At 37.5% G+C, this 26,653-nt stretch overlaps 1 annotated feature.

The window, feature by feature from the left end:
- Positions 1-26,653: part of a centromere (Linear centromere model derived predominantly from reads generated in PMID: 17803354. This region does not represent an actual centromere sequence, as long-range ordering of repeats and unmapped WGS contigs is not provided by the model. For details of model production, see http://arxiv.org/abs/1307.0035.) that runs on past both edges of the window.

The following is a 26,653-nucleotide window of genomic DNA, read 5'->3' on the forward strand; positions in this document are numbered from 1 at the left end:
ACATTTTGAGCGCTTTGAGGCCAATAGAGAAAAAGGAAATCTCTTCACATAAAAACTACACAGAAGCATTCTCAGAAACTTCTTTGTGATGTTTGCGTTCAACTCACAGAGTTGAACTTTCTTTTCATAGAGCAGATTTGAAACACCCTTTCTGTTGAATTTGCAAGTGGATATTTGGACCTCCAAGAGGCCTTCGTTGGAAACAAGATATCTTCACCTAAAAACCAGACAGAAGCATTCTCAGAAACTTCTTTGTGATGTGTGCATTCAACTCACAGAGATGAACCTTTCTTTTGATAGGGCAGTTTGGAAAAACTCTTTTTGTAGAATCTGCATGTGGACATTTGGAGCACTTTGAAGCCTATGATGAAAAAGGAAATCTCTTCACATAAAAACTAGACAGAAGCATTCTCAGAAACTTCTTTGTGATGAGTGCATTCAACTCACAGAGTTGAATCTTTCATTTATAGAGCAGTATTGAAACAGTCCTTTTGTAGAATCTGCATGTGTACATTTAGAGTGCTTTGAGGCCTATGGTGAAAAAGGGAATATCTTGATATAAAAACTACACAGAAGTATTCTCAGAAACTCCTTTGTGATGTGTGCATTCAACACACAGAGTTGAACCTTCGTTTTGATAGAGCAGTTTTGAACCACGCTTTTTGTAGAATCTGCATGTGGACATTTGGAGAGTCAAGGGTCTCTGGTGAAAAAGGAAATATCTTCACTTAAAAACTACATAGAGGCATTCTCAGAAACTTCCTTGTGACGTTTGCTTTCAACTCACAGAGTTGAACATTACTTTTCATAGAGCAGTTTTAAAACACTCTTTTTGTAGTGTTTGCTGGTGGATATTTGGAGCTCATTGAGGTCTTCGTTGGAAACGGGATATCTTCACATGAAAACCAGACACAAGCATTCACAGAAAGTTATTTGTGATGTGTGCATTCAACTCACAGAGTTGAACCTTTCTTTTGATAGAGCAGTTTTGAAACACTTTTTTTGTAGGATCTGCAAGTGGACATTTGGAGCGCTTTGAGGCCTATCATGAAAAAGGAGATATCTTCACATAAAAACTGCACAGAAGAATTCTCAGAAACTTCTTTGTGCTGTTTGCTTTCAACTCACAGAGTTGAACATTCCTTTTCATAGAACAGTTTTGAAACACTTTTTGTGGAATTTGCAAGTCGATTTTTTTACCACTTTCAAGCCTTTGCTGGAAACGGAATACCTTCAAATAAAAACGAGACAGAACCATTGACAGAAACTTCTTTGTGATGTATGCGTTCAACTCACAGAGTTGAACCTTTCTTTTGATAGAGCAGTTTTGAAACACTCTTTTTGTAGAATCTGCAAGTGGACATTTTGAGCGCTTTGAGTTCAATGGAGAAAAAGGGAATCTCTTCACATAAAAACTACACAGAAGCATTCTCAGAAACTTCTTTGTGATGTGTGCATTCAACTCACAGAGTTGAACCTTTCCTTTCATACAGCAGATATGAAACACTCTTTCTGGTGAATTTGCAAGTAGGTATTTGGACCGCTTAGAGACCTTCATTCAATACGAGATATCTTCACATAAAAACTAGACAGAAGCATTCTCAGAAACTACTTTGTGATGTGTGCATTCAACTCACAGAGATGAACATTTCTGTTGATAGAGCAGTTTTGAAAGAATCTTTTTGTAGAATCTGCAAGAGGACATTTGGAGCACTTTGAGGCCTTTGGTGAAAAAGGAAATATCTTCACATAAAAACTAGACAGAAGCATTCTCATAAACTTATTTGTGATGAGTGCACTCAATTAACAGAGTTGAACTTCTTCTTTTGATACAGCAGTTTTGGAACACTCTTTTTGTAGTATCTGCAAGTGGACATTTAGAGTGCTTTGAGACCTATGGTGAAAAACGGAATATCTTCACATAAAAACTACATAGAAGAATTCTCAGAAACTTCTTTGTGTTGTGTGCATTCCACTCACTGAGTTGAAACTTTCTTTTGATAGAGCAGTTTTGAAACACTCTTTTTGTAGAATCTGCAAGTGAACATTTGAGTGCTTTGAGGACTGTGGTGAAAAAGGAAATATCGTCACATAAAAACTACACAGAAGCATTCTGAGTACCTTCTTTGTGATGCTTGCTTTCAACTCAGAGAGCTGAACATTAATTTTCCTACTGCAGTTTTGAAACACACTTTTTGAAGAATTTGCACGTGGATAGTTGGACCACCTTGCGGCCTTCGTTGGTAACAGGATATCTTCACATAAAAGGCAGACAGAAGAATTCTCATAAACTTGTTTCTCATGTGTGAATTCAACTCACAGAGTTGAACATTTTTTTTTGATAGAGCCATATTGAAACAATCTTTTTGTAAAATCTGCAGGTGGACATTCGGAGCGCTTTGAGGCCTATGGTGAAAAAGCAAATATCTTCACATAAAAACTGCACAGAAGCATTCTGAGAAACTTCTTTGTGCAGTTTGCTTTCAACTCACAGAGTTGAACATTCCTTTTCATAGAGCAGTTTGGGAACACTCTTTTTGTGGAATTTGCAAGTCGTTATTTGTACCACTTTGAGGCCTTCATTGGAAACACTATACCTTCACATAAAAACTAGACAGAATCATTGACAGAGAGTCCTTTGTGATGTATGCGTTCAACTCGCAGAATTGAACCTTTCTTTTGATAGAGCAGTTTTGCAACACTCTTTTTGTAGAATCTGCAAGTGGACACTTGCAGTGCTTTGTTGCCAATGGAGAAAAATGAAATCTCTTCACATAAAAACTGCACAGAAGCATTCACAGAAACTTCTTTGTGATGTGTGCATTCAACTCACAGAGATAAACCTTTCTTTTGATAGACCAGTTTTGAATCACTCTTTTTGTAGAATCTGCAAGTGGACATTTGGAGCGCTTTGAGGCCTTTGGTGAAAAAGGAAATATCTTCATATAAAAACTAGAGAGAAACATTGTCAGAAACTTCTATGTGATGAGTGGATTCAACTCAAACAGTTGAGTCTTTCTTTTGGTAGAGCAGTTTTGAAATACTCTTTTTGTAGTATCTGCAAGTGGACATTTTGAGTGCTTTGAGACCTATGATGAAAAAGGGAATATCTTCACATAAAAACTACACAGAAGTATTCTCAGAAACTTCTTTGTGATGTGTGCGTTCAACAGACAGAGTTGAACCTTTCTTTTGAGAGAGCAGTTTTGAAACACTCTTTTTGTAGCATCTGCAAGTGAACATTTGGAGAGCTTTGCGGTCTACGGTGAAAAAGGAAATATCTTCACTTAAAAATTACACAGAAGCATTCTCAGAAACTTCCTTGTCACGTTTGATTTCACCTCACAGAGTTGAACATTAATTTTCCTCCAGAAGTTTTGAAACACTCTTTTTGTAGAATTTGCATGTGGATATTTGGACTACTTTGAGGCTTTCGTTGGAAACAGGCTGTCTTCACATAAAAACTGGACAGAAGCATTCACAGAAACTTGTTTGTGATGTTTGCATCCAACTCACAGATTTGAACCTTTCTTTTGATAGAGCAGTTTTGAAACACTCTTTTTGTAGAATCTGCAATTGGACATTTGAGCGCTTTGAGGTCTGTGGTGAAAAAGGAAACATCTTAAAAAAAAACTACACAGAAGCATTCTCAGAAACTTCTTTGTGATGTTTGCTTTCACCTCACAGATTTGAACATTCCTTTTCATAGAGCGGTTTTGAAACACTCATTTTGTAGAATTTGAAAGTGGGTATTTGGACCACTTTGAGACCTTCATTGGAAATGGGATATCTTCACATAAAAAGCAGACAGAAGCATTCTCAGAAACTTCTTTGTGATGTGTGCATTCAACTCACAGAGGTGAAATTTTCTTTTGATAGAGCAGTTTTGAAACACTCTTTTTGTAGAATCTGCAAGTGGACATTTGGAGTGCTTTGAGGCCTATGGTGAAAAAGTAAATATCTTCACATAAAAACTGCACAGAAGCATTCCCAGAAACATCTTTGTGCTGTTTGTTTTCAACTCACAGAGTTGAACAGTACTTTTCATAAGCAGTTTTGAAACACTCTTTTTGTGGAATTTGCAAGTCGATATTTGTGCCACTTTGGGGTCTTCATTGGAATCGGAATACCTTCATATAAAAACTATACAGAGGCATTGACAGAAACTTCTTTGTAATGTATGTGTTCAACTCAAAGAGTTGAACCTTTCTTTTGATAGAGCAGTTTTGAACGACTGTTTCTGCAGAATCTGCAAGTGGACATTTGAGCGCTTTGAGGCTTGCAGTGAAAAAGGAAATATCTTCACATTAAAACTACACAGAAGCATTCTCATTAACTTCTTTGTGATGTTTGCTTTCAACTCACGGAGTTGAAAATTCCTTTTCATAGAGCAGTTTTTAAACACTGTTTTTGTTGAATTTGCCAGTGGATATTTGGACCGCTTAGAGGCCTTGGTTGGAAACGAGATATCTTCACATAAAAGCATTCTCAGAAACTTCTTTGTCATGTGTGCACTCAACTCACAGAATTGAACGTTTCTTTCGATAGAGCAGCTTTGAAATACCCTTTTTGCAGAATCTCCACGTGGACATTTGGAGCACTTTAAGGCCAATGGAGAAAAACGAAATCTCTTACAAGGAAATATCTTCACTTAAAAACTACACAGGAGCATTCTCAGAAACTTCCTTGTGACGCTGACTTTCAACTCACAGAGTTGAACATTAACTTTCCTACAGCAGTTTTGAAACACTTTTTTGTAGAATTTGCAAGTGGACATTTGAGCGACTTTGAGGCTATCGTTCGAAACGGGCTATCTTCACATGAAAACTAGATGGAAGCATTCAAAGAAACTTCTTTGTGATGTGTGCATTCAACTCACAGAGTTGAACCTTTCTTTTGATAGAGCAGATTTGAAACACTCTTTTTGTAGAATCTGCAAGTGGACATTTAGATGCATTGTGGCCAATGGAGAAAAACAAAATCTCTTCTCATAAAAACTACACAGAAGCATTCTCATAAACTTCTTTGTGATGTTTGCTTTCACCTCACAGAGTTCAACATTCCTTTCATAGAGCAGTTTTGAAACACTCTTTTTGTAGAATCTGCAAGTGGATATTTGTACCACTTTGAGGCCTTCGTTGGAAACGGTATATCTTCACATAAAAAGCAGACAGAAGCATTCTCAGAAACTTCTTTGTGATGTGTACATTCAAGTCACAGAGATGAACATTTCTTTTGATAGAGTAGTTTTGAAACACTCTTTTTGTAGAATCTGCAAGGGGACATTTGGAGTGCTTTGAGTCCTTTGGTGAGAAAGGTAATATCTTCACATAAAAACTACACTGAAGTATTCTCAGAAACTTCTATGTGATGTGTTCATTCAACTCATGGAGTTGAACCTTTCTTGTGATAGAGCAGTTTTCAAACACTCTTTTTAGAGAATCTGCAAGTGGACACTTTCAGAGCTTTGTGGTCTATGGTGAAAAAGGAAATATCTTCACTTAAAAACTACACAGAATCGTTGGCAGAAACTTCCTTGTGACGTTTGCTTTCAACTCACAGAGTTGAACATTAATTATCCTATAGCAGTTTTGAAACACTCTTTTTGTAGAATTTGCATGTGAATATTTGGACCACTTTGAAGCTTTCATTGGTAACGGGATAACTTCACATGAAAACTAGACAGAAGCATTCACAGAAACTTCTTTGTGATGTGTGCCTCCAACTAACAGAGTGGAACTTTTTTTTTTTACAGTAGTTTTGAAACACTCTTTTTGTAGAATCTGCAAGGGGACATTTGAGAGCTTTGAGGCCTGTGGTGAAAAAGGAAACATCTTCACATAAAAACTACACAGAAGCATTCTCAGAAACTTCTTTCTGATGTTTGCTTTCAACTCACAGGGTTGAATATTCCTTTTCATAGAGCAGTTTTGAAACACTCTTTTTGTAGAATTTGCAAGTGGATATTTGGACCACTTTGAGGCCTTAGTTGGAAACGGGATATCGTCAATAAAAAGCAGACAGAAGCATTATCAGAATCTTCTTTGTGATGTCTGCATTCAACTCACAGAGTTGAACCTTTCTTTTGATAGAGTCGTTTTGAAACACTCTTTTTGTAGAATCTGAAGTGGGCATTTGGAGTGTTTTGAGGCCTTTGGCGAAAAAGGAAACATCTTCACATAAAAACTAGACAGAAGCATTCTCAGAAACTTCTTTGTGATTAATGTATTCAACTCACAGAGTTGAATCTTTCTTTTGATAGAGCAGTTTTGAAACTCTCTTTTTGTAGAATCTGCTAGTGGACATTTAGAGTGCTTTGAGGCCTACAGTGAAAAAGGGTATATCTTCACATAAAAACTACACAGAAGTGTTCTCAGAAACTTCTTTGTGAAGTGTGCATTCAACTCACGGAGTTGAACTTTTATTTTGATTGAGCAGTTTTGAAAACCCTTTTTGTAGAATCTCCAAGTGGACATATGAGCGTTTGAGGCCTGTGGTGAAAAAGGAAATATCTTCACATAAAAACTGCACAGAAGCATTCTGAAAAACTTCTTTGTGATGTTTGCTTTCAACTCACTGAGTTGAACATTCGTTTTCATAGAGCAGTTTTGAAATACTATTTTTGTAGAATTTGCAATTGGATATTTGGTCCACTTTGAAGCCTTCGTTGGAAACGGGATACCTTCAGATAAACACCAGACAGAAGCATTCTCAGAAACTTCTATTTGATGTGTGTATTCAACTCACAAAGTTGAACCTTTCTTTTGATAGAGCCGTTTTGAAACACTGTTTTTGTAGAATCTGCAAATGGACATTTGGAGCGCTTTGAGGCCTAAGGGGAAAAAGAAATATCTTCACATAAAAACTGCACAGAAGCATTCTCAGAAACTTCTTTGTGCTCTTTGCTTTCAACTCACAGAGTTGAGCATTCCCTTTCATAGAGCAGTTTTGAAACACTCTTTTTGTAGGATTTGCAAGTGGATATTTGGACCACTTTGCGGCCTTCGTTGGAAACGGGATATCTTCACATAAACACCAGACAGAAGCATTCTTAGAAAGTTCTTTTTGATGCGTGCATTCTACTCACACAGTTGAACCTTTCATTTGATAGAGCTGTTTTGAAACACTATTTTTGTAGAATCTGCAAGTGGACGTTTGGAGTGTTTTGAGGCCTATGGTGAAAAAGAAATATCTTCACATAAAAACTACACAGAAGCATTCTCAGAAACTTGTTTTTCCTGCTTGCTTTCAACTCACAGAGTTGAACATTCCTTTTCATAGAGCAGTTTTGATACACTATTTTTGTGGAATTTGCAAGTCGATATTTGTACCACTTTGAGGCCTTCGTTGGAAACGGAATACCTTCACATAAAAACTAGACAGAAGCATTGACAGAAACTTCTTTGTGATGTATGCATTCAACACATAGAGTTTAACTTTTCTTTTGATAGAGCAGTTTTGAAAGACTCTTTTTGAAGAATCTGCAAGTGGACATTTGGAGCCCTTTGAGGACAATGAAGAAAAACGAAATATCTTCATATAAAAACAATACAGAGGCATTCTCAGAAACTTCTTTGTAATGTGTGCATTCAACTCACAGAGTTGAACCTTTCTTTTCATAGAGGAGATTTGAAAAACTCTTTCTGTTGAATTTGCAAGTGGATTTTTGGACCGCTCAGAGGCCTTCATTGGAAACGGGATATCTTCACATTTAAAACTAGACAGAAGCATTCTCAGAAACTTTTTTGTGAGGTGTGCATTCAACTCACAGAGATGAACCTTTCTTTTGATAGAGCAGTTTTGAAGCACTCTTTTTTTAGGATCTTCAAGTGGACATTTTGAGCGCTTTGATGCCTTTGCTGAAAAAGGAAAAATTAGCACAGAAAAACTAGACAGATGCATTCTCAGAAACTTCTTTGTGATGAGTGCATTCAACTCACAGAGTTGAATCTTTGTTTTGATAGAGCAGTTTTGAAACACTCTTTTTGTAGAACCTGCAAGTGGACATTTGGAGCGCTTTGAATCCTACGATGAAAAAGGAAATATCTTCACATGATAATTGCATAGAAGCATTCTTAGAAACTTCTCTGTGCTGTTTGCTTTCAACTCACAGAGTTGAACATTCCTTTTCATAGAGCAGATTTGAAACACTCTTTTTGTGGAATTTGCTAGTCGATATTTGTACCACTTTGAGGCCACTGTTGGAAATGGAATACCTTCACATAAAAACTAGATAGAAGCTTTGAGAGAAATTTCTTTGTAATGTGTGCATTCAACTCACAGAGTTGAACCTTTCTTTTGATAGAGCAGTTTTGAAAGACTCTTTTTGTAGAATCTGCAAATGGACATTTGGAGCGCTTTGAGGCCAATGGAGGAAAATCAAATCTCTTCACATAAAAACTATATAGAAGCATTCTCAGAAACTTTTTGTGATGTGTGCATTCAACTCACTGAGTTGAACCTTTCTTTTCATAGAGCAGATTTGAAACACTCTTTCTGCTGAATTTGCAAGTGTATATTTGGACCTCTTAGAGGCCTTCGTTGGAAATGGGATATCTTCACATAACTAGACAGAAGTATTCACAGGAAATTTTTTGTGATGTGTGCATTCAACTCAGAGAGTTTAACCTTTCTTTTGATGGAGAAGTTTTGAAACATTCTTTTGGTAAAATCTGCAAGTGAACATTTGGAGAGCTTTGAGGTTAATGGTGAAAAAGGAAATATCTTCACTTAAAAACTACACAGAAGCATTCTCAGAAACTTCTTTGTGACGTTTGCTTTCAACTCAGAGAGTTGAACATTAATTTCCATATGGCAGTTTTGAAACACTCTTTATGTTGAATTTGCATGTGGATATTTGGAGCACTTTGAGGCTTTCGTTGGAAACAGGATATCTTCACATAAAATCTAGACAGAAGCACTCACAGAAACTTCTTTGTAATGTGTGTATCCAACTCACCTAGTTGAACCTTTCTTTTGATAGAGCAGTTTTGACACACTATTTTTGTAGAATCTGCAAGTGGACATTTCAGCGCTTTGAGGCCTGTGGTGAAAAAGGAAATATGCTCACATAAAAACCACACAGAAGCACTCTCAGAAACTTCTTTGTGATGTTTGCTTTCAACTCACAGAGTTGAACATTCCATTTCATAGAGCAGTTTTGAAACACTCTTTTTGTAGGATTTGCAAGTGGATATTTGGACCACTTTGAGGCCTTCGTTGGAAAAGGGATATCTTCACATAAAAACAGAGAGAAGCATTCTCAGAAACTTCTTTGTGATGAGTGCATTGAACTCACAGAGTTGAATCTTTCTTTTGATAGAGCAGTTTTGAAGCCCTCTTTTTCTAGAATCTGCAAGTGGACACTTGGTGCGCTTTGAGGCATATGGTGAAAAAGGGAATACCTTCACATAAAAACTACACAGGAGTGTTCTCAGAATCTTCTTTGTGATGTGTGCATTCAACTCACAGAGTGGAACCTCTCTTTTGATAGAGCCGTTTTGAAACACTATTTTTGTGGAATTTGAATGTCGATATTTGTACCAATTTGAGGCCTTCTTTGGAAACGGAATACCTTCACATAAAAACTGGACAGAAGCATTGACAGAAACTTCCTTGAGATGTATGCATTCATCTCACAGTTTTGAACCTTTCTTTTGATAGAGTGGTTTTGAAAGACTCTTTTTGCAGAATCTACAAGTGGACATTTGGAGCGCTTTGAGGCCAATGGAGAAAAGCGAAATCTCTTCACAGAAAAACTACACGGAAGCATTCTCAGAAACTTCTTTGTGATGTTTGCTTTCAACTCACAGAGTTGAACATTCCTTTTCATAGAGCAGATTTGAAACACTCTTTTTGTGGAATTTGCAAGTCGATATTTTTACCACTTTGAGGCCTTCATTGGAAACGGAATACCTTCACATAAAAACTAGATAGAAGCATTGAGAGAAACTTCTTTGTAATGTATGCATTCATCTCACAGAATTGAACCTTTTTTTTGATAGAGCAGTCTTGAAAGCCTCTTTTTGTAGAATCTGCAACTGGACATTTGGTGTGCTTTGAGGCCAATGGAGGAAAATGAAATCTCTTCACATAAAAACTATACAGAAGCATTCTCAGAAACTTTTTTGTGATGAGTGCATTCATCTCACAGAGTTGAACTTTCTTTTGATAGAGCGGTTTTGAAATACTCTTTTTGTAGAATCTGCAAGTGGACATTTATAGTGTTTTGAGGTCTACAGTGAAAAAGGGAATATCTTCACATAAAAACTGCACAGAAGAATTCTCAGAAACTTCTTTGTGATCTGTGCATTCAACTCACAGAGATGAACCTTTCTTTTGATAGAGCTGTTTTGAAAAACACTTTTTGAAGTATCTGCAAGTGGACATTTGGAGTGCTTTGAGGCCTTTAGTGAAAAAGGAAATATTTTCACATAAAAACTAGACAGAGGCATCTCAGAAGCTTCTTTGTGATGTTTGCTTTCAACTCACAGAGTTCAACTTTCCTTTTCATAGAGCAGTTTTGAAACACTCTTTTTGTAGAATTTGCAAGTGGATATTTGGACCACTTTGAGGCCTTCGTTGGAAACGGGATATCTTTACACAAAAACTAGACAGAAGAATTCACATAAACTTCTTCGTGATGTATGCATCCAAGTCACAGAGTTGAAACTTTCTTTTGAAAGAGCAGTTTTGAAACACACTTTTTGTAGAATCTGCAAGTGGACATTTGGAGCGCTTTGAGGCCAGTGGTGAAAAAGGAAATATCTTCACCTAAAAACTGCACAGAAGCATTCTCAGAAACTTCTTTGTGCTTTTTGCTTTCAACACACAGAGTTGAACATTCGTTTTAATAGAACAGTTTTGAAACACTCTTTTTGTGGAATTTGCTAGTGGATATTTCTACCACTTTGAGGCCTTCATTGGAAATGGAATACCTTCCCATAAAAACTAGACAGAAGCATTGACAGAAACTTCTTTGTGATGTATGCATTCAACTCACAGAGTTCAACTTTTCTTTTGATAGAGCAGTTTTGAAACACTCTTTTTGTAGAATCTGCAAGTGGACGTTTGGAGCGCTTTGAGGCCAATGGAGAAAAACGAAATCTCTTCACATAAAAACTACACAGAAGCATTCGAAGAAACTTCTTTGTCATGTGTGCATTCAACTCACAGAGCTGAACCTTTCTTTTCATAGAGCAGTTTTGAAACACTCTTTGTATAATTTGCAAGTGTATATTTGGACTGCTTAGAGGCCTTCATTGGAAATGGGATATCTTCACATGAAAACTAGACAGCAGCATTCTCAGAAACTTCTTTGTGATGTGTGCATTCAACTCACAGAGATGAAACTTTCTTTTGTTAGATCAGTTTTGAAACACTCTTTTTGTAGAATCTGCAAGTGGACAATTGGAGCTCTTTGAGGCCTATGGTGAAAAAGGAAATATCTTTCCATAAAAACTAGACAAAGTCATTCTCAGGAACTTCTTTGTGATGAGTGCATTCAACTCACAGAGTTGAATCTTTATTTTGATACAGCAGTTTTGAAACACTCTTTTTGTAGATTCTGCAAGTGGACATTTAGAGTGCTTTGAGGCCTATGTTGAAGAGGGGAATAGCTTCACATGAAAAGTAGACAGAAGCATTCTCAGAAACTTCTTTGTGATGTGTGCATTCAACTCACAGAGTTGAACGTTCCTTTTGATAGAGCAGTTTTGAAACACTCCTTTTGAAGTATCTGCAAGTGGATATTTGAAGTGCTTTGAGGTCTACGTTGGAAACGAGAATAGCTTCACATAAAAAGTAGAAAGAAGCATTCTCAGAAACTTCTTTGTGATGTGTGCATTCAACTCACAGAATTGAACCTTCGTTTTGAAAGTGCCATTTTTAAACACTCTTTTTGTAGAATCTGCAAGTGGATATTTGGACGGTTTTGAAGCCTACAGTAGAAAAGGAAGTATCTTCATACAATAACTAGACAGAAGCTTTCTCAGAAGCTACTTTGTGATGTTTGCATTCAACGCATAGAGTTGAACCTTCCTTTTGATAGAGTAGTTTTGAAACACTCTTTTTGAAGAATCTGCAAGTGGATATTTGGAGGGCTTTGAGGCCTTTGTTGGAAACGGAAATAACTTCACATAAAAAGCAGACAGAAGCATTCTCAGAAACTTCTTTGCGATGTGTGCATTAAACTAATGGAGTTGAGCCTTCATTTTGATACAGCAGTTTTGAAAGATGCTTTTTGTAGAATATGCAAGTGGATATTTTGATGGCTTTAAGGCCTTCGGTGTATATGGGAATATCTTCACATAAAAACTAGACAAAAGCATTCTCAAAAACTTCTTTGTGATGTGTGCATTCAACTCACAGAATTGAACGTTCCTTTTGAAAGGGCAGTCTTGAAACACTCTTTTTGTAGAATCTGCAAGTGGATATTTAGACCGTTTTGAGGTCTACGGTAGATAAGGGAATATCTTTATATAAAAACTAGACAGAAGCATTCTCAGAAACTACTTTGTGATGTGTGCATTCAACTCACAGAGTTGAAGATTCCTTTTCATAGAGCAGTTTTGAAACACTCTTTTTGTAGAATCTGCAAGTGAATATTTGGACCGCTTTGAGGCCTTCGTTGGAAAAGGGAATAGCTTCACATAAAAAGTAGACAGAAACATTCTCAGAAACTTCTCTGTGATGTGTGCATTCAACTCACAGAGTTGAATATTCCCTTTGACAGAGCTGTTTTGAAACACTCTTTTTGTAGAATCTGCAAGAGGACATTTGGAGCGCTATGAAGCCTGTGGAGGAAAAGGAAATATCTTCACATAGAAACTACACAGAAGCATTCTCAAAAAGTCTTTTGTGGTGTGTGCATTCAACTCACAGAGTTGAACTTTTCCTCTGATAGAGCAGTTTTGAAACACCCTTTTTGTAAAATTTGTAAGTGTACATTTGGAGCTCTTTGAGGCCTGTGGTGGAAAAGGAAATACATTCACATCGAAACTAGAGAAAAGCATTCTCAGAAACTACTTTGTGACGTGCGCATTGAACTTACAGAGTTAAACCTTCCTTTTGATAGAGTAGTTTTGAAACACTCTTCATGTAGAAACTGCATGTGGATATTTGGAACGAATTTACTCCTTCGTAGGAAAAGGGAATAGCTTCACATAAAAAGTAGACAGAAACATTCTGAGAAACTTCTTTGTGATGTGTGCATTCAACCCACAGAATTGAACCTTCCTTTTGATGGAGCAATTTTGAATCACTCTTTTTGCAGAATTTGCAAGTGGACATTTGGAGCTCTTTGAGAACTGTGGTGGAAAAGGATATATCTTCAAATAGAAAATAGAAGCGTTCTCAGAAACTTCTTCATGATATGTGCATTCAACTCACAGAATTGAACCTTCCTTTGAAAGTGCAGTTTTGAAACACTCTTTTTGTAGAATCTGCAAGTGGATGTTTCTACCTTTTTGAGGCCTATAGTGGAAAAGGAAATATCTTCATATAAAGGTAGACAGAAGCATTCTCAGAAACTAATTTGTGACGTGTGAATTCAACTCACAGAGTTGAAAATTCCTTATCACAGAGCAGTTTTGAAACACTCTTTTTGTAGAATCTGCAAGTGGATATTTTTATCGCTTTGTGGCCTTCATTGGAAACGGGAATAGCTTCACATAAAAAGTAGACAGAAGCATTCTCAGAAACTTCTTTTTGATGTGTGCATTCAACTCACAGAGTTGAACATTCCTTTTGACAGAGCAGTTTTGAAACACTTTTTGTAGAATCTGCAAGTGGACATTTGGAGCGCTTTGTGGCCTGTGGTGGAAAAGGAAGTATCTTCACATAGAAACTAAGAGAAGCATTCTCAGAAACTTCTTTGTGATGTGTGCATTCAACTCACACAGTAGAACATTCCTTTTGATAGAGCAGTTTTGCATCACTCTTTTTGTAGAATTTGCAAGTGGACATTTGGAGCTCTTTGAGGACTGTGGTGGAAAAGGATATATCTTCACATAGGAACTAGAGGAAGCATTCTCAGAAACTTCTTTGTGATGTGTGCATTCAACTCAGAATAGAACATTCCTTTTGACAGAGCAGTTTTTAAACACTCTTTTTTTAGAATCTGCAAGTGGACATTAGGAGCACTTTGAAGCCTGTGGTGGAAAAGGATATATCTTCACATAGAAACTAGACAGAAGCATTCTCAGAAACTTCTTTGTGATGTGTGCATTAAACTTAAAGAGTTGAACCATCCTTCTGATACAGCAGTTTTGAATCATTCTTTTTGTAGAATTTGCAAGTGGACATTTGGAGCTCTTTGAGGACTGTGGTAGAAAAGGATATATCTTCACATAGAAACTAGAGAGAAGCATTCTCAGGTATCCCTTTGTGATGTGTATATTCAACTGACGGAGTTTAACTTCCCTTTTGATAGATCCCTTTTGAAACACTCTTTTTGTAGAATCTGCAAGTGGGTATTTGGAGCGCTTTGAGGCCATTGTAGGAAACGGGAATAGCTTCACATAAAAAGTAGACGGAAACATTCTCAGAAACTACCTTGTGATGTGTGCATTTAACTCACAGAGTTGAACATTCCTTTTGACAGAGCAGTTTTGAAAAACTGTTTTTGCAGAATATGCAAGTGTATATTTGGAGCGCTTTGAGACCTGTGTGGAAAAGGAAATATCTTCACATAGAAACTAGACAGAAGCATTCTCAGAAACTTCTTTGTGATGTGTGCATTCAACTAACAGAGTTGAAGCTTCCTTTTTATAGAGCAGTTTTGAAACACGCTTTTTGTAGAATCTGCAAGTGGATATTTTGACGGCTTTGAGGCCTTTGGTGTAAATGGGAGTATCTTCACATACAAACTAGACAAAAGCATTCTCAAAAACTTCTTCATGATGTGTGCATTCAACTAACCGAACTGAACCTTCCTTTTGGAAAAGGAAATATCTTCACATAGAAACTAGACAGAAGGATTATCACACACTTCTTTGTGATGTGTGCATTCACCTCACAGAGTAGAACATTCCTTTTGACAGACCAGTTTTGAAACAGTCTTTTTGTGGAATCTGCAAGTGGACATTAGGAGCGCCTTGAGGCCTGTGGCGGAAAAGGATATATCTTCACATAGAAACTAGAGAGAAGCATTCTCATAAAGTTCTTTGTGGTGTGTGCATTCAACTCACAGAATTGAACCTTCGTTTTGAAATTTCCATTTTGAAACCCTCTTTTTGTAGAATCTGCAAGTGGATATTTGAACCGTTTTGAGGTCTACAGTATAAAAGGAAATATCTTCATACTAAAACTAGACAGAAGCATTCTCAGGAGCTACATTTTGATGTTTGCATTCAACTCACAGAGTTGAACCTTCCTTTGCATGGAGCAGTTTTGAGACCCTGTTTTTTAAGTTTCTGCAAGTGGATATTTGGAGTGCGTTGAGGCCTTCATTGGAAACAGGAGGAGCTTCACATAAAAAGTAGAAAGAAGCATTTTCAGAAACTTCTTTGTGATGTGTGCATTCAACTCACACAGTAGAACATTCCTTTCGACAGAGCAGTATTGAAACACTCTTTTTGTAGAATCTACAAGTGGACATTAAGAGCGCTTTGAGGCCTGTGTTGGAAAAGGATATATCTTCATATAAAAACTAGACATAAGCATTCTCAGAGACTTCCTTCTGACGTGTACATTCAACACACAGAGTTGATAGAGCCCTTTTGAAACATTCTTTTTGTAGAATCTGCAAGTTGATATTTGGAGCGCTTGGAGGCCTTCGCAGGAAACGGGAATAGCTTTACATAGAAACTAGACAGAAGCATTCTCAGAGACTACTTTGTGATGTGTACATTCAACTCAGAGAGTTGAACATCCCTTTAGATAGAGCCATTTTGAAACCCTCTTTTTGTAGAATTTGCAAGTGGATATTTGGAGCGCTTTGAGGCCTTCGTTGGAAACGGAATAGCTTCAAAGAAAAAGTAGACAGAAGCATTCTCAGAAACTTCTTTGTGATGCTTGCATTCAACTAACAGTGTTGAACTTTCCTTTTGATAGGACAGCTTTGAAACACGCTTTTTGAAGTATCTGCAAGTGGATATTTGGAGTGCTTTGAGACCTTCATTGGAAAAGGGAATAGCTCCACATAAAAATAGAGAGAAGCATTCTGAAAAACTAATTTGTGATGTGTGCATTCAACTAACAGAGTTAAACCTTCCTTTTGATAGAGCAGTTTTGAAACACTCTTTTTGAAGAATCTGCAACTGGATATTTGGATTGCTTTGAGGCCTTCATTGGAAACGGGAGTAGCATGCCATGAAAAAGTAGACAGAAGTATTCTCAGAAACTTCTTTGTGATGTGTGCATTTAACTAAAAGATTTGAACCTTCCTTTTGATAGAGCAGTTTTGAAACACTCTTTTTGAAGAATCTGCACGTGGATATTTGGAGTGCTATGAGGCCTGTGGTAGAAAATGAAATATCTTCATATAAAAACTAGACAGAAGCATTCTCAGAGACTACTTTGTGATGTGTACATTCAACTCACAGAATTGAACATCCCTTTAGATAGAGCCCTTCTGAGACAGACTTTTTGTAGAATCTGCAAGTGGATATTTGGAGCACTTTGAGGCCTTCATTGGAAACGGGAGTAGCTTCACTTAAAAAGTAGACAGAATCATTCTCAGAAACTTCTTTGTAATGTGTGCATTCAACTCACGGAGTTGAACATTCCTTTTGAAAGAGCTGTTTTGAAACACTCTTTTTGTAGAATCTGCAAGTGGACATTTGGAGCGCTTTGAGGCCTGTGTGGAAAAAAAAATCTTCACAGAGAAGCTAGACAGCAGCATTCTCAAAAACTTCTTTGTGATGTGTGCATTCAACTAACAGAGTTGAACTTTCCTTTTGATAGAGCAGTTTTGAAACATGCTTTTTGTAGAATCTGCAAGTGGATATTTTGACGACTTTGAGGCATTCCGTGTAAATGGGAATATCTTCACATAAAAACTAGACAAAAGAATTCTCAAAAACTCCTTTGTGATGTGCACATTCAACTCACAGAATTGAAAATTCCTTTTGAAACAGCAGTTTTGAAACACTCTTTTTGTAGAATCTGCATGTGGACATTTGGAGTGATTTCAGGCCTGTGGTGGAAAAGGAAATATCTTCTCATAGAAACTTGACAGAAGCATTCCCAGAATCTTCTTGTGATGTGCACATTCAGCTCAACGAGTTGAACATCCCTTTTGAGAGAGCCCTTTTGAAACACACTTTTTGTAGAATCTGTAAGTGGATATTTGGACCACTTTTAGGCCTATGGTGGAAACGGGAATAGCTTGACATAAAAAGTAGACAGAAGAATTATCAGAAACTACTTTGTGATGTGTGCATTCAAGTCACAGAGTTGAACCTTTTTTTTGAAAGAGCAGTTGTGAACCACTCTTTGAATGTGCAAGTGGACAGTTGGAGCTCTTTGAGGCCTGTGGTGGAAAAGGAAATATCTTCAAATAGAAACTAGACGGAAGCATTCTCAGAAACTTCTTTGTGATGTGTGCATTATACTTACAGAGTTGGACCTTCCTTTTGACAGAGCAGTTTTGAAACACTTTTTGTAGAAACTGCTTGTGGATATTTGGACCGATTTGAGGCCTTCGTTGGAATAGGGAATAGCTTCTAAAAAAAAAGGAGACAGAAGCATTCTCAGAAACTTCTTTGTAATGTGTTCATTAAACACACAGAGTGGAAATTTCTTCTGATAGAGCAGTTTAGAAACACTATTTTTGTAGAATCTGCAAATGGACATTTGGAGCGCTTTCAGGCCTGTGGTGGAAAAGGAAATATCTTCACAGAGATACTAGACAGAAGCATTCACAAAAACTTCTTTGTTATGTGTACATTCAACTCACAGAATTGAACATCCCTTTTGATAGAGCAGTTTTGAACACGGTATTTGAAGAATCTGCAAGTGGATATTTTGACGGATTTGACGCCTTCAGTGGATATGGGAATATCTTCACATTAAAACTAGACAGAAGCATTCTCAAAAACAACTTTGTGATGTGTGCATTCAACTCACAGAATTGAACTTTCCTTTTGAAAGAGCAGTTTTGAAACACTCTTTTTCTAGTATCTGCAAGTGGATATTTGGGCCGCTTTGAGGCCTATGGCAGAAAAGGAAATATCATCATATACAAACTAGACAGAAGCATTCTCAGAAACTACTTTGAGTTGTGTTCATTCAACTCACAGAGTTGAACATTACTTTTGATAGAGCAGTTTTGAAACAATCTTTTTGTAGAAACTGCAAGTGGATATTTAGACCGATTTGAGGTCTTCGTTGGAAATGAGAATAGCTTCAAATAAAATGAGACTGAAGCATTCTCAGAAACTTCTTTGTGATGTGTGTATTCAACTCACAGAGTTGAACATTCCTTTTGACAGAGCAGTTTGAAACACTCTTTTAGTACAATCTCCAAGTGGATATTTGGAGGGCTTTCAGGCTTTTGGTGGAATGGGAATTATCTTCAGATAGAAACTAGAAAGAAGCTTTCTGAGAAACTTCTTTGTGATGTGTACATTCAACTCACAGAATTGAACATCCCTTTTGATAGAGTGGTTTTGAAACACTCTTTTTGTAGAATCTGGAAGCAGATATTTGGAGCGCTTTGAGGCCTTCGTGGGAAACGGGAATAACTTCACATAAAAAGTAGACAGAAGCATTCTCAGAAACTTCTTTGTGATGTGTGCATTCAACTCACAGAGTTGAACATTCCTTTTGACAGAGCAGTTTTGAAACACTCTTTTTGTAGAATCTGCAGGTGGACACCTAGAGCGCTTTGAGGCCTCTGGTGGAAAAGGTAATATCTTCACATAGAAACTAGAGAGAAGCATTCTAAGAAACCTCCTTTTGATGTGTGCCTTCAACTCAGAGTTGAACCTTCCTTTTGATAGAGCAGTTTTGAAACACTCTTTTTGTAGAAACTGCAATTGGATATTTGTACCGATTTGAGGCCTTCGTTAGAAACGGGAATAGCTTCACCTAAAAAGTACACAGAAGCATTCTCAGAAACTTCTTTGTTATCTGTGCATTCAACTCACAGAGTTGAACATTCTTTTTGAGAGAGCAGTGTTGAAACACTCTTTTTGTAGAATCTTCAAGTGGAGATTTGGAGCGCTTTGAGGCCTGTGTTGGAAAAGGAAGTATCTTCACATAGAAACTAGACAGAAGCATTCTGAGAAACTTCTTTGTGATATGTGCATTTAACTCATAGAGCTGAACCTTCCTTTTGATAGAGCAGTTTTGAAACACTCTTCTTGAAGGATCTGCAAGTGGATATTTGGAGGGCTTTGAGGCCTATGGTAGAAAAGGAAATATCGTCATATAAAATTAGACAGAAGCATTCTCAGAAACTACTTTGGATGTTTGCATTCAACTCACAGAGTTGAACATTCCTTTTGACAGAGCAGTTTTGAAACACTCTTTTTGTAGAATCTGCAAGAGGACATTTGGAGTGCTTTCAGGCCTGTGGTGGAAAAGGGAATATCTTCACATGGAAACTAGACAGAAGTATTCTCAGAAACTTCTTTGTGATGTGTACATTCAACTCACAGATTTGAACAAGTCTTTTGATAGAGCAGTTTTGAAACCCTCTTTTTGTAGAATCTGCAAGTGGATATTTGGACTGCTTTGTGGCCTTCATTGGAAATGTGGTTATCTTCTCATAAAAACTAGACAGAAGCATTCTCAGAAGCTACTTTGTGATGTGTGTATTCAACTCACAGATTTGAACCTTCTTTTTGCTAGCACAGATTTGAAACACTCTTTTTCTGGAATCTGCTAAAGGACATTTGGAGGGCTTCGAGGGCTACAGTGGAAAAGGAAATATTTCACATAAACACTAGACAGAAGCCTTCTCAGAAACTTCTTTGTGATATTTGCATTCAACTCACAGAGTTGAACAGAACTTTTCATAGGGCAGTTTTTTAGAAATTTTTTTTTGTTTTTTTTTTTTGTTTCTTTTTTATTATTATTATACTTTGTTTTAGGGTACATATGCACAATGTGCAGGTTAGTTACATATTTATACATGTGCCATGCTGGTGCGCTGCACCCACTAAATCGTCATCTAGCATTAGTTATATCTCCCAATGACATCCCTCCCCCCTTCCCCCCACCCCATAACAGGCCTCAGAGTGTGATGTTCCCCTTAATGTGTCCATGTGTTCCCATTGTTGAATTCCGACCTATGAGTAAGAATATGCGGTGTTTGGTTTTTTGTCCTTGCGAGAGTTTACTGAGAATGATAATTTCCAATTTCATCCATGTCCCTACAAAGGACATGAACTCATCATTTTTTATGGCTGCACAGTATTCCAAGGTGTATATGTGCCACATTTTCTTAATCCAGCCTATCATTGTTGGACATTTGGATTGGTTCCAAGTTTTTGCTATTGTGAATAGTGCCACAATAAACACACGTGTGCATGTGTTTTTATAGCAGCATGATTTATAGTCCTTTGGGTATAAACACTCTTTATGTTGAATATGCAAGTGGATATTTAGACGGGTTTGAAGCCTTCGCTGGAAACGGGAATGCCTTCACATAGAAACTAGACAGAAGCATTCTCAGAAACTTCTTTGTGATGTATGCATTCAACTCACAGAGTTGAAACTTCTTTTTGGTAGAGCAGTCTTAAACACTCTTTTTGGAGAATCTGGAAATGGATAATTGGAGCGCTTTGAGGCCTATGGTGGAAACGGGAATAGCTTCATGTAAAAACTAGACAGAAGCATTCTCAGAAATTTATTTGTGATGTGTGCATTCAACTCAGAGCAGAGCATTCCTTTGGACAGAGCAGTTCTGAAACACTCTTTTTGTAGAATTTGCAAGTGCACATTTGGAGAGCTTTGAGGCCTGTGGTGGAAAAGGAAATATCTTCACATAGAAACTAGAGAGAAACATTCTCAGGATCTTCTTTGTGATGTGTGCATTCAACTTACTGAGTTGAACCTTCCTTTTGATAGAGTAGTTTTGAAACACTCTTTTGGTAGAATCTGCAAGAGGATATTTGGAGTGCTTTGAGGCCTGTGGTGAAAAAGGAAATGTCTTCACATAGAAACAAGACAGAGCATTCTCAGAAACTTCTTTGTGTTCTGTGCATTCAACTCACAGGGTTGAACCTTCCTTTTGATAGAGCAGATTTGAAACACTCTTTTTGAAGAATCTGCAAGTGGATATTTTGATGGCTTTGAGGCCTTCGGTGGAAATGGGAATATCTTCACATAAAAACTAGAGAGAATCATTCTCAAAAACTTCTTTGTGACGTGTGCATTAAACTGACAGAATTGAACCTTTCTTTTGAAAGAACAATTTTGAAGCACTCTTTGTGTAGAATCTGAAAGCGGATATTTGGACCGCTTTGAGGCCTATGGTAGAAAAGGAAATATTTTCATATAAAAAGCAGACAGAAGCATTCTCAGAAACTTCTTTGTGGTGTGTGCATTCAACTCACAGAGTTGAACATTCCTTTTGATAGAGCAGTTTTGAAACACTCTTTTTGTTGAACCTGCGAGTGGATATTTGGACCGCTTTGAGGCCTATGGTGGAAACGGGTGTAGCTTGTCATAAAGAGTAGACAGAAGCATTCTAAGAAACTACATTGTGATGTGTGCATTCAATTCAGAGTTGAACCTTCATTTTGCTAGAGCAGTTTTTTTTGATATGGAGTCTCGCTCTGTCCCCAGGCTGGAGTGCAGTGGCATGATCTCAGCTCACTGCAACCTCCGTCTCCTGGGTTCACGCCATTCTCCTGCCTCAGCTTCCCACATAGCTGGGACTACAGGTGCCCGCCACCATGCCCAGCTATTTTTTTTTTTTTTTGTATTTTTAGTAGCGACGGGGTTTCACCGTGTTAGCCAGGATGGTCTCGATCTCCTGACCTCATGATCCGCCCGCTTCAGCCTCCCAAAGTGCTGGGATTACAGGCGTGAGCCAACGCGCCTGGCCAGAGCAGTTTTGAAACACTGTTTTCGAAGTATCTGCAAGTGGATATTTGGAGCGTTTTGAGGCCTGTGGTGGAAAAGCATATATATTCACCTAGAAACTAGGGAGAAGCATTCTCAGAAACTTCTTTGTGATGTGGGCATTCAACTTACAGAGTTGAACCTTCCTTTTAATAGAGCAGTTTTGAAACACTCTTTTGGTAGAATCTGCAAGTGGATATTTGGAGTGCTTTGAGTCCTGTGGTAGAAAAGGAAATATCTTCATATAAAAACTAGACAGAAGCATTCTTAGAAACTACTTTGTGATGTGTGCATTCATCTCACGGAGTTGAACATCCCTTTTGATAGAGCAGTTTTGAAACACTCTTTTTGTAGAAAATGCTGTGGATATTTGGACCGATTTGAGGCCTTCATTGGAAACGGGAATAGTTTCACATAAAAACGAGGCAGAAGCATTCTCAGAAACTTCTTTGTGATGTGTGCATTCAACTCACAGAATTGAACCTTCTTTTGATAGAGCAGTTTTGAAACACTCTTTTTGTAGAATCTCCAAGTGGACATTTGGAGGACTTTTAGGTCTTTGGCGGAAAGGGAAATATCTTCACATAGAAACTAGAAAAGCATTCCGAGAAACTTCTTTGTGATGTGTACATTCAACTCAGAGAGTTGAATATCCCTTTTGATAGAAGAGTTTTGAAACACTCTTTTTGTAGAATCTGCAAGTGGATATTTGGAGTGCTTTGAGGCCTTCATGAGAAACGGGAATAGATTTTCACATAAAAAGTAAACAAACATTCTCAGAAACTTCTTTGTGATGTCTGCATTCAACCCACAGATTTGAACTTTCCTTTTGACAGAGCAGTTTTGAAACCCTCTTTTTGTACAAACTGCAATTGGATATTTGGACCGATTTGAGACCTTCGTTGGAAATGGGAATAGCTTCACATAAAAAGTAGACAGACGCAATCTCAGAAACTTCTTAGTGATCTGTGCATTCATCTCACAGAGTTGAACGTTTCTTTTGATAGAGCAGTTTTGAAATACTCTTTTTGTAGAATTTGCAAGTGGATATTTGGAGCGCTTTGAGGCCTGTGGTGGAAGAGGAAATATCTTCACATAGAAATTAGGGAGAAGCATTCTCAGAAACTTGTTTGTGATGTGTGCATTCAACTCACCGAATTGAACCTTCCTTTTGATGGAGCAGTTTGGAAACACGCTTTATGAAGAATCTGGTAGTGGATATTTTGATGGCTTTGAGGCCTTCGGTAGAAATGGGAATATCTTCATATAAAAACTAGACAGAAACATTCTCAAAAACATGTTTTTGATGTGTGCATTCAACTCACAGAATTGAACTTTCCTTCTGAAAGAGCAGTTTTGAAACAATCTTTTTGTAGAATCTGCAAGTGGATATTTGGACAGCTTTGAGGCCTGTGGTGGAAACGGGAATAGCTTGACATAAAGAGTAGCCAGAAGCATTCTCAGAAACTTATTTGTGATGTGTGCATTCAACTCACAGTGTTGAACCTTCCTTTTGATAGAGTAGCTTTGAAACAGTCTTTTTGAATGATCTGCAAGTGGATATTTGGAGTGTTTTGAGGCCTGTGTTAGTAAAGAAAATATCTTCATATAAAAACTATAAAAACTAGACAGAAGCATTCTCAGAAACTACTTTGGATGTTTGCATTGAACTCACAGAGTTGAACATTCCTTTTGACAGAGAAGTTTTGAAACACTCTTTTTGTAGAATATGGAATTGGATATTTGGAGCGCTTTCAGTCCTGTGGTGGCAACGGGAATAGCATCACATAAAAACAAGACAGAAACATTCTCAGAAACTTATTTGTGATGTGTGCCTTCATCTGACAGAGTTGAAACTTGCTTTTGATCAAGCAGTTTTGAAACACTCTTTCTGTAGCATTTGCACATGGACATGTGGAGCGCTTTGAGGCCTCTGGTGGAAAAGGAAATATCTTCATATAGAAACTAGACAGAAGCATTCTCAGAAACTTCTTTGTGATATGTGCATTCAACTCACAGAGTTGAACCTTCCTTTTGATAAAGCTGTTTTGAAACATCTTGTTGCAGAATTTGCAAGTGGATATTTGGACCACTTTGAGGCCTACAGTAGAAAAGGAAATATCTTCACATAAAAACCTGACAGAAGCATTCTCAGAAACTACTTTGTGATGTGTGCTTTCAACTCACCGAGTTGAACATTCCTTTTGATAGAGAAGTTTTCTAACACTCTTTTTGTAGAATCAGCAGGTGAATATTTGGACCGCTTTGAGGACATCAATGGAAAAGGGAATAGCCTCACATAAAAGGTAGACAGAAGCATTCTCAGAAACAACTTTCTGATGTGTGCATTCACCTCACAGAGTTGAACCTTCCTTTTGAAAAAGCAGTTTTGAAACACTCTTTTTGAAGGATCTGCAAGTGGATATTTGGAGTGCTTTGAGGCATAAAAGAAAATATCTTCATATAAAAACTAGACAGAAGCATTCTGAGAATCTACTTTGGATGTTTGCATTCAACTCACAGAGTTGAACATTCTTTCTGATAGAGCAGTTTTGAAACACTCTTTTTGTAGAATCTGCAAGTGGATATTTGGAACGCTTTTAGGCCTATGGTGGAAACGGGAATAGCTTGACGTAAAGAGCAGGCAGCAGCATTCTCAGAAACTACTTTGTGATGTGTGCATTCAACTAACAGAATTGAAACTTCCGTTTGATAGAGTACTTTTGAATCACTCTTTTTGTAGAATTTGCAAATGGACATTTGGAGCTCTTTGAGGACTGTGGTGGAAAAGGATATAGCTTCAGATAGAAACTAGAGAGAAGCATTCTGAGAAACTTCTTTATGATGTATGCATTCAACTCACAGAAGTGAACCTTCGATTTGAAAGTGCCGTTTTGAAACACTCTTTTGGTAGTATCTGCAAGTGTATATTTGGACCGTATTGAAGCCTACAGTAGAAAAGGAAATAGCTTCATATAAAAACTAGACAGAAGCATTCTGAGAATCTACTTTGCGATGTTTTCATTCAACTCACAGAGTTGAACCTTCCTTTTGATAGAGCAGTTTTGAAACACTGATTTGAAGAACCTGCAAGTGGATATTTGTACTGCTTTGAGGCCTTCATTGGAAATGGGAATAGCTTCACATAAAAAGTAGACAGAAGCATTCTCAGAAACTTCTCTGTGATGTGTGTATTCAACTCACAGAGTTGAATATTCCTTTTGACAGAGCTGTTTTGAAACACTCTTTTTGTAGAATCTCAAGTGGACATTTGGAGCACTTTGAGGCCTGCGGTGGAAAAGGAAATATCTTCACATAGAAATTAGAGAGAAGCATTCTCATAAACTTCTTTGTAATGTGTGCATTAAACTTACAGAGTTAAACCTTCCTTTTGATAGAGCAGTTTTGAAACACTCTTTTTGTAGAATCGACAAGTGGACATTTGGAGCTCTTTGAGTCCTGTGGTGGAAAAGGAAATATCTTCACCTAGAAACTAGACAGAAGAATTCTCAGAAACTTCTTTGTGATGTGTGCACTCAACTCACAGAGTTGTACCTTTCTTCTGATAGAGGAGTTTTGAAACACTTTTTTTGTAAAATTTGTAAGTGGACATTTGGAGCTCTTTGAGGCCTGTGGTGGAAAAGGAAATATCTTCACATAGAAACTAGAGAGAAGCATTGTCAGAAAGTACTTTGTGATGTGTGCATTAAACTTATAGAGTTGAAACTTCCTTTTGATAGAGCAGTTTTGAAACAGTCTTTTTGTGGAAACTGCGTGTGGATATTTGGACCGATTTGAGGCCTTCTTTGGAAAAGGGATTAGATTCACAGAAAAAGTAGACAGAAGCATTCTCAGGAACTTCTTTGTGATGTGTGCATTCAACTCACAGAGAGAACATTCTTTTGACAGAACAGTTTTGAAACACTCTTTTTGTAGAATCTGCAAGTGGACATTAGGCGCGCTTTAAGGCCTGTGGTGGAAAAGGAAATATCTTCACATACAAACTAGATATAAGCATTCTCAGAAACTTCTCTGTGATGTTTGCATTCAACTCACAGAGTTGAAGCTTCCTTTGATGATAGAGCAGTTTTCAATCACTTTTTTGTGGAATTTGCAAGTGGACATTTGGAGCTCTTTGAGGACTGTGGTGGAAAAGGATATATCTTCACATAGAAACTAGAGAGAAGCATTCTCAGAAACTTCTTTGTGATGTGTGCATTCAACTCACAGAATTGAACCTCCTTTTTGAAAGTGCCGTTTTGAAACACTCTTTTTGTGTAATCTGAAAGTAGATATTTGGGCCGTTTTGAAGCCTCCAGTAGAAAAGGAAATATCTTCATATAAAAACTAGACAGAAGCATTGTCAGAAGCTACTTTGTGATGTGTGCATTCAACTCACAGAGTTGAACCTTCCTTTTGATAGAGCAGTTTTGAAACACTCTTTTTCAAGAATCTGCAAGTGGATATTTGGAGTGCTTTGAGGCCTTTATTGGAAACGGGAATAGCTTCACATAACAAGTAGACAGAAGAATTTTCAGAAACTTCTTTGTGATGTGTGCATTCAACTATCAGAGTTGAACCATCCTTTTGTTAGAGCAGTTTTGAAACAGTCTTTTTGAAGAATCTGCAAGTGGAT

This window comes from Homo sapiens, chromosome 17, assembly GCF_000001405.40.
Source record: "Homo sapiens chromosome 17, GRCh38.p14 Primary Assembly".
In the NCBI taxonomy this organism is placed as follows: Eukaryota; Metazoa; Chordata; class Mammalia; order Primates; family Hominidae; genus Homo; species Homo sapiens.